Source organism: Homo sapiens, chromosome 7 (genome assembly GCF_000001405.40).
Source record: "Homo sapiens chromosome 7, GRCh38.p14 Primary Assembly".
NCBI lineage: Eukaryota > Metazoa > Chordata > Mammalia > Primates > Hominidae > Homo > Homo sapiens.
The window spans coordinates 77988948-77996366 of record NC_000007.14 but is presented as its reverse complement, the minus strand read 5'-3'; the positions used below and the strand labels follow the sequence as shown (position 1 = coordinate 77996366).

The window sequence follows — 7419 nt, the reverse complement described above, 5'->3', positions numbered from 1 at the left end:
TTCCAGGGGTAAATTATAAATTTCTAATTTTTAATTTTTATTTTGTTTTTCGTCATCCAATATATAATCGTGACTGTCTCCAGTATATAATTTCTTAGAGCATCATTCTTTGAGGTCTTTTAACTTGACTCACATTTTAAAAATACATTTCTCATCAACCCTCAGTACACACTGATACCCACATACATAACTGAAAAGTATCACAAAGTAGTACTTATTCTTTTAATGTGCTCTGATTGTTTCCCATTCTGTTGCATTCTGTTGTATTTCATTTTTTAAAACTGGCAAGACCCGCCAGTAGGATTGACAAGACCAATCCTCAGTTTTCAAGCTTCTCCCAGGTTTGGATTGCTATGGGTTTGACATTATTCTTCCTGGTGTCTGTGGTAAGGCCCCCTCTTCTGTGCTGCATGGAAAATAGAAATACCTGCCCTAGCAGCTAGGGGAGCTGGGGGCAGCACTGGCGTTTTCTTGTGAAACTGACATGGAGTGAGCCTGAATTGAGAGCCGCCCACCTCTACTGCAGCTGACACAGAGAAACACCAAGCCCCGGATGCTCATCGTCATTAGTTTGTGTGAGTGTTTCTATATTTCAAAGACTCTATAATATCCAAATAACTATCGCAACTAATCTTTAATCATGGTCATGTCTCAGATGTCTTAATGGTCCCTGAGTCACCAGCAGTTGGCCTTTGAATCTCTTATTGTAAAGTGTTTAAAAGAATCCCTGAAACATTAGCCACCTTACATGATTCCAAATGGCATAACTTGTGAAGATAATGAAAAATTATGGTAAAGCACTTTTCATACAGCATGAACTAATCAGTGAGCCCAGAAAAGCCGATGTTGATGAAGTGCCATCAAGTTATGGCATGAAATGCCACCTGCGGGTAAATCTGGGTCTAATTTGCCTTTGCAAGTAGTTTTCTATTTATTTGAATGTGAAATGAATCTTAAGGATGGCAGATGATAAAGATGCTGCCCCTTCAACACTGATTTGATTGGAAGTGCATTTGTCCTTTCTTTGAGCCTGCAGTTTCAGAGACTTTTTCAAATCTTCCTTTGTAAGTGTTAGCCCAGCAGTGCAGGCAGAGGGGGAGATGCCCCGGCACCTTCCTCCCTCGCTGGCTTCACCCCACCATCCTGCCTGAAGGCCGAGGTGCCAGGGCAAGGAGGGGAGATGCAGAAAGCCGGAACTCACTCAGAGAGAAGTCAGGAGCCAGTGAGGCTGAGCGTGCTTCTTCTCACGCTTTTTGGCTCCCCTCACCATTTTGGCCCCCATTTTCCTTCCCTTTTGGCTTTGTCCCTGTTATTGTGATTCTCAGCGTCAGATGGCCTCAGCTCTCCTGTTTAATGGATGTCTCTGCTAATGTAACATTCTCTTATCATCATGTAGAAGCAATGGCCAAATCCACAATACGGGCGATTCTACAGGACAAGTAGACCAGTTTCTTCACGACATGAATAATCAGGTGGAGGTGAAGGGGAGGAACGGCTATAACATAAGAGATGAAAGACATTAGTCAGATTCAGTCTTGTCTCAAAGTAGAGACAGGAGTATAGTGGATTCCCAATTGTGCATCACTCACCATCAATGTTTATCAATATTTTGTTCTTCTTGCTTCAATTATTCATTCCAACAGGTGTGTGCGTGCGTGTGTGTGTGTGTGTGTGTGTGTGTGTGTGTGTGTGTGTCTGTGTTGTGTATAGTAGCTATGGTCTCAACGTGTCCCCCTAAATTCATGTGTCGGAAACATAATCTCCCCAATGCAACAGTGTTAGGAGGTAAGGCCTTTCAGGAGGTAAGTCGCAAGGGCTCTGCCTTTGCAACTGGATTAATGCCACTATGGAAAGGGCTTGGGGAGTGAGTTCTCTGTCTTTCCCTCTTCCGCTGTTCTGCACGTGAGAACACAGTCCTCCTCCTCTCTCACCCTTCCACCTTCCATCATGTGAGGCCACAGCAAGAAGTCCCTAATCAGATGCTAATGCCTTAATCTTGGACTTCCCAGCTTCCAGAATTTGAGAGAATACATTTCTGTTCTTTATAAATTACCTAGTCTCAGGTTTCTGTCATAGCAACACAAAACAGACTAAAACAACAATATTTTAAAGTAAATCCTAGAGTTTCTATTGTTTCATCCGTAAGTACTTTAATGTATGGCACTTACAAGTACACTTCGGCAAAATGTTTTCAGCCTTTGACAAGGGGCTCTACTGGAAGCAACCCTGTGCCTTTTTTTTTTTTTTTTTTTCCCTAAGAGTCCAGGTCTCATTGTGTTACCCAAGCTGGAGTGCAGTGGCACTCCACTGAAGTTTGAGTGCATTACAGCTGCAAACTCCTGGGCTCAAGTGATCCTCCTATATAAGCCTCTTAAGGAGCTAGGACTACAGGCATGTGCCACCATGCCTGGCTGTTTTCATTTTTTGTACAGAAAGTGTCTCGCTATGTTTCCCAGGCTAGTCTCAAACTCCTGGTCTCAAGTGATCTACCTCAGGCTCCCAAAGTGCTGGGATTACAGGAGTGGGAGCCACTTTGCCCAGCCCCGTGTGTCTCTAAATGATGGTTTACTCTAAGGACAGCGCTGACTTTTATAAAAACACACTGTTTCTCTCCCCAGATCCTCAGGATAAAATTCCTCCTGGACTGTGCTTAGGAGAAACTTCACAATTTCTCACCAAAACACTAAAGCTTGAGTACCTAATCAAATGTTCTTTATACAAGATCTGCTAGGAAGCTTAGATACAAAATCTGTGGCCAACCATGTCATATAGCTGCACACAAGGAGATGAAATTTTCTATTACTGTTATTTCCTATTCTAATATGTTCCTCTTCTTTTCGTTCCTTTTTCTTTCTCATCCACTTCAAATTTGTGTTATCTTATTTATCTTTATATCTCTGTAAGCAGAGGTATGCTGGTGTTTCACAACTAGTTCTCTGAAAAAAATGCCTATACATGTATACATTTATTATACATTTTGCTGCTATAAATGATGTATATCCCACAATAAGCAAATAACAGTAAACTACATAATACTCTGTATTGTAAATTCCATGCAGCCAATTGATTCTCACATATGCTTTCATTGAGCTTTGTCAAATCCTTTATCCATAGCTAACATACAGTTGCAATTGACACCTCTAGAAACCTCTTCTCAGGGAAGAGGAAGACTCTGCCCTTTGGCTTCCAGATTCATGCGTTTTAAGATCTCCTGAGCTATGTTGGCTCTGTTCAATTCTCCCTTCCCTAGCTGCCTCCCCGAGGGCTTTGTCTAGTTGCAACAAAATCATGACATGTTTCTCTATGGACAGTCAAGGCCTCTGAAGCACAGTAATGACGAAGTGCATGGCCCTGGACAGACAGTTGAGGGGCTGAGTCCTCGATTGCCAATCCCTGCCCTACCCCTTGTAGACTGTGTAAACCCAGGACACGTTATCTCTGCATTTCTTTCCCTCATGGTGCAAATGAGAAGGTTAAATTAGATAATCGTCAAGGTCCCTTATAGCTCTAATATCCTTTGGTTAGGATCTTATTAAATATGCATCAGACACATTCGGCTGCAAGCTTTATTTTCTGATAACACTAAACTGCCCTTGTGTGCACAGCCCTTATAACTTGCTGCTTGTATAATATGTTCCTTTGCTCACAAAACACAATAGCAATATTCCCTCTAACAGCAACCTTCTATTCAGTGACTGCCTTTCTCAATATTACTTTTCTTCCTTTTTTTTTTTTTTTTTTTTGAGATGGAGTCTCACTCTGTCACCTAGGCTGGAGTGCACAGGCACGATCTCAGCTCACTACAACATCTGCCTCCTGGGTTCAAGTGATCCTCCTGCCTCAGCCTCCTGAGTAGCTGGGTCTGCAGGCACCCACAACCATGCCCAGCTAATTTTTGTATTTTTAGTAGAGATGAGGTTTTGCCATGTTGGCCAGGCTCGAACAGGTCTCAAACTCCTGACCTCAAGTGATCTGCCCGCCTTGGCCTCCCAAAGTGCTGGGATTGCAGGCGTGAGCCACTGCGCCTGGCCTCAATATTACTTTTCTAAGACTTATTGGGAGGCGATCATGAAAAAATAAAATAACACTGGCCTCAATATTACTTTTCTAAGACTTATTGGGAGGCGATCATGAAAAAATAAAATAATTTTTTAAAAGTAAAAAAAAAAAAAACCCCACAAAACCACAGCAACTCCCTTCAACTCCCTTCACTCCCATCTCCTTTTGCCTTTTCTCACGTATTCAGGTGCATCAGGCTTATGGAGTTGGCTTAGATCCTAAGTCCTCCACTCTGGGGAACGAATGGACTTTTATCTGCCTGGATTTAGAAGCCAGGTCCTATTGACAACATGCTATTAAGAGTTCCAAATAACCTTTAAGTAGCTAAATGAAATGATCGTTGTCTACCCTGATCCTACGTGATTTAAGTGTTGTTTGTGAGGAGATGAATCACAGGGCAGTGCTTCACTAACTGTTCTCATTAAACTTTCAAGGTTCTGGACTCCAGGCTGTGGCGTGTTTATTTCTGTCTACACCTTCCCCTCAGACAGGTTTAGTGCCCATCTTTCTCATGCAGAGGGCATCCCAGAGCCTAGTGCTCCCAGTCTTTCTCCTTTACTTATTACCTTTCAGGCTCAAACTCATCCACCTGTTTCAACAGAACAACAGCTGAGAAATAGAGCAGGTCTCCTCCTTCACAGACCGCTTAACTCCTGCCTCGCCTCTGCCTTCTGTACAGGCTTGATAGTCAGGTGCATGGTCCAGAGGCCTCCACGTGCAGAAAACAAGACCAGGCTGCCAGCCTCTTCCCCAAAGCATCCTGGGTTTCTTCTCTGAGAGTGCCACAGCATTCTCTCTCCTTTAAGGCCTTGGGTGTGTTCACAGAGTCTCATCGCAGGCTGCTGCCCACTGGCACCTCATGTAATCTCAGTGAGACCATTCACGTTCTGGGCATCCAGGACCATGAGGATAACCCTATAGCCACTTCATATTACTGTGCCAAGCACATTACCTCACTTAATTCTCACTTAACTCACTTAATTTAACCCCAAGAGGGCTGATATTCAGATGGTTGGCACCGGTAAGTCCTAATGAATTATTTATAATCCACTTCTATTCTCAGTGGCCTGGGACATACCAGTTGTGAAAGGTATTAAATATGACCTGGAGGTAGATGTCACTTACAGTTTTCAAAGGAGGAGATGGAGGCCCTGAGTTATCCTGGAAGAGCGGGAGGGCGCAAGGCATTTCTCAAAAGAAGACACACAGAAACTACAACAGGGATCACCACGGCAGACAGGAGGCAGAACCAGATTGCAGCTCCGACTTGGACAGACAGAGCAGCATACGGAGGCTCACATCATGAATTTTAGCTCCAGAACAACTGCAGGAATAAACCAGGAATGCCGAGAGGACCCACAGACCCTCTTGAAGGAAGCAGACTGCTCCTGCAGGACCCAGGAGACACCCCAAATCCTGTGAGTGCCCCAACTGTGGAAGTGGGAAAAGGAGACCCTCCGCCCCCGAACACACACCCCCACTGGGGAAACTGAAGGCCTAGTTTGCGAAAGAAGTTTCCGACCTTACCTGGAGCTGAGTCAATTTAGAGAGCCGAGTGAACTACAAGGGTAAAGGAAGCAGTGGGAAAGGCCCTGGGAGCTCGCTGGGACCCCAAGCAGGCCATTCTTACCTGGCACCACCAGGATCCTTCAGGAGGGCAGCTAGAGGTGTGGGGAAAATGCCACAGGGAGAAGGAAGTCTCCAGCTGAACTTCATAACAATTTGAACCAGGCAAGAAGCCTCCTGGCCAGAACTCTGGGGAGAACGGGAATCCAGCATGCAGACTCCACAGGTGGGGGAAGAACTGAGCCCTTTTCCTTTGCAGCTGGGAGGTGGGTAGTCTGGGGCAATTCTCAGCCCTGCTTGCCCACTGCCTGGAAACAGATTTGGTGCTGTTAGGGGAGGCACTGTGGGAGTGAGACCAGCCCTTTGGATTGCGTGGGAGCTGGGTGAGGCCTGTGACTGCTGGCTTTCCCCCACTTCCCTGACAACCCGCATGACTCAGCAAAGGCAGCCATAATCCTCCTAGGTACACAACACTATTGACCCAGGAACCTCATCCCCATTCCTGACAGCAGCCGCAGCAAGACCTGCCCAACCAAGGAGAGTCTGAGTTGAGACACACCTAGCCCTGGTCCTTCCCTACCCACGCTGGCAACTGAAGACAAAGGGTATATATTCTTGGGAGTTCTAGGGCCCTGCCCACTGCCAGTTCCTCCTCATACTACCACAGCTGATGCTCTCTGGAAAGCGCCACCTCCTGGCAGGAAGCCAATCAGCACAAAAATAGAGCATTAAACCACCAAAGCTAAGAACCCTCAAAGAGTCCATTATACAACCCTGCCACTTCCACCAGAACAGATGCTGGTATCCATGGCTGAAAGACCCATAGATGGTTCACATCACAGGACTCTGCAGACAACTCCCAGTACCAGCCCAAAGTCTGGTATGCTTGCTGGGTGGCTAGACCCAGAAGAGAGATAACAATCACTGCAGCTTGGTTCTCAGGAAGCCATATCCATAGGACAAGGGGGAGAATACTACATCAAGGGAACACCCCATGGGACAAAAGAATCTGAACAGCAAGCAGCCTTCAGCCCTAGACCTTCCCTTTGACAGAGCCTACCCAAATGAGAAGGAACCAGAAAACCAACTCAAGTAATATGACAAAATAAGGCTCTTTAACACCCCCAAAAATTTCACTAGCTCAACAGCAATGGATCCAAACAAAGAAGAAATCCCTGATTTACCTGAAAAAGAATTCAAGAGGTTAATTATGAAGCTAATCAGGGATGCACCAGAGAAAGGTGAAGCCCAATGCAAGGAAATCCAAAAAACGATACAAGAAGTGAAGGGAGAAATATTCAAGAAAATAGATAGCATGAAGAAAAAACAATCAAAACTTCAGGAAACATTGGACACATTTATAGACAAATGCTCTGGAAAGTCTCAATAGTAGGGTTGAACAAGCAGAAGAAAGAAATTCAGAGCTTTGTAGGATTAACCTAATCCTACAAAGACAAAGAAAAAAGAATGAAAAAATATTAACAAAGCCCCCATGAAGTCTGAGATTATATTAAATGACCAAACCTAAGAATAATCAGTGTTCCTGAGGATGAAGAGAAATCTAAAATTTGGAAGATATATTTGGGGAAATAATCAAGGAAAACATCCCCAGCCTTGCTAGAGACCTAGACATCCAAATACAAGAAGCACAAAGAACACCTGGGAAATTCATCACAAAAAAAATCATTGCCTAGGCACACTGTCATCAGGTTATCTAAAGTTAAGATGAAGGAAAGAATCTTAAGAGCTGTGAAATAAAAGCACCAGGTAACCTATAAAGGAAAACGTTTCAGA

The 7419-nt window shown here is 44.5% G+C and overlaps 1 long non-coding RNA gene across 2 annotated transcripts, besides 1 other annotated feature; it reads right to left on the bottom strand.

Moving 5' to 3' along the window:
- DDX3ILA1 (DDX3 interacting lncRNA 1) lies at positions 1–5976 on the bottom strand. Of its 2 annotated transcripts, NR_183362.1 has the most exons (3): positions 5690–5976; positions 5185–5383; positions 1–1495 (listed from the first exon to the last, which is right to left on the bottom strand). It is a non-coding gene; the product is annotated as a DDX3 interacting lncRNA 1 (long non-coding RNA). The 2 variants fall into 2 exon arrangements; NR_183361.1 differs by lacking the exon at positions 5185–5383.
- Positions 5303–6502: an enhancer, noted in NCBI's record as "MED14-independent group 3 enhancer chr7:77619182-77620381 (GRCh37/hg19 assembly coordinates)". NCBI's record gives its function as "activates an origin of replication core promoter dependent on BRD2, BRD4, P300/CBP and CDK7 cofactors, and independent of MED14, by STARR-seq in HCT116 cells {active_cell/tissue: HCT116}" and the evidence as "EXISTENCE:reporter gene assay evidence [ECO:0000049][PMID:35650434]".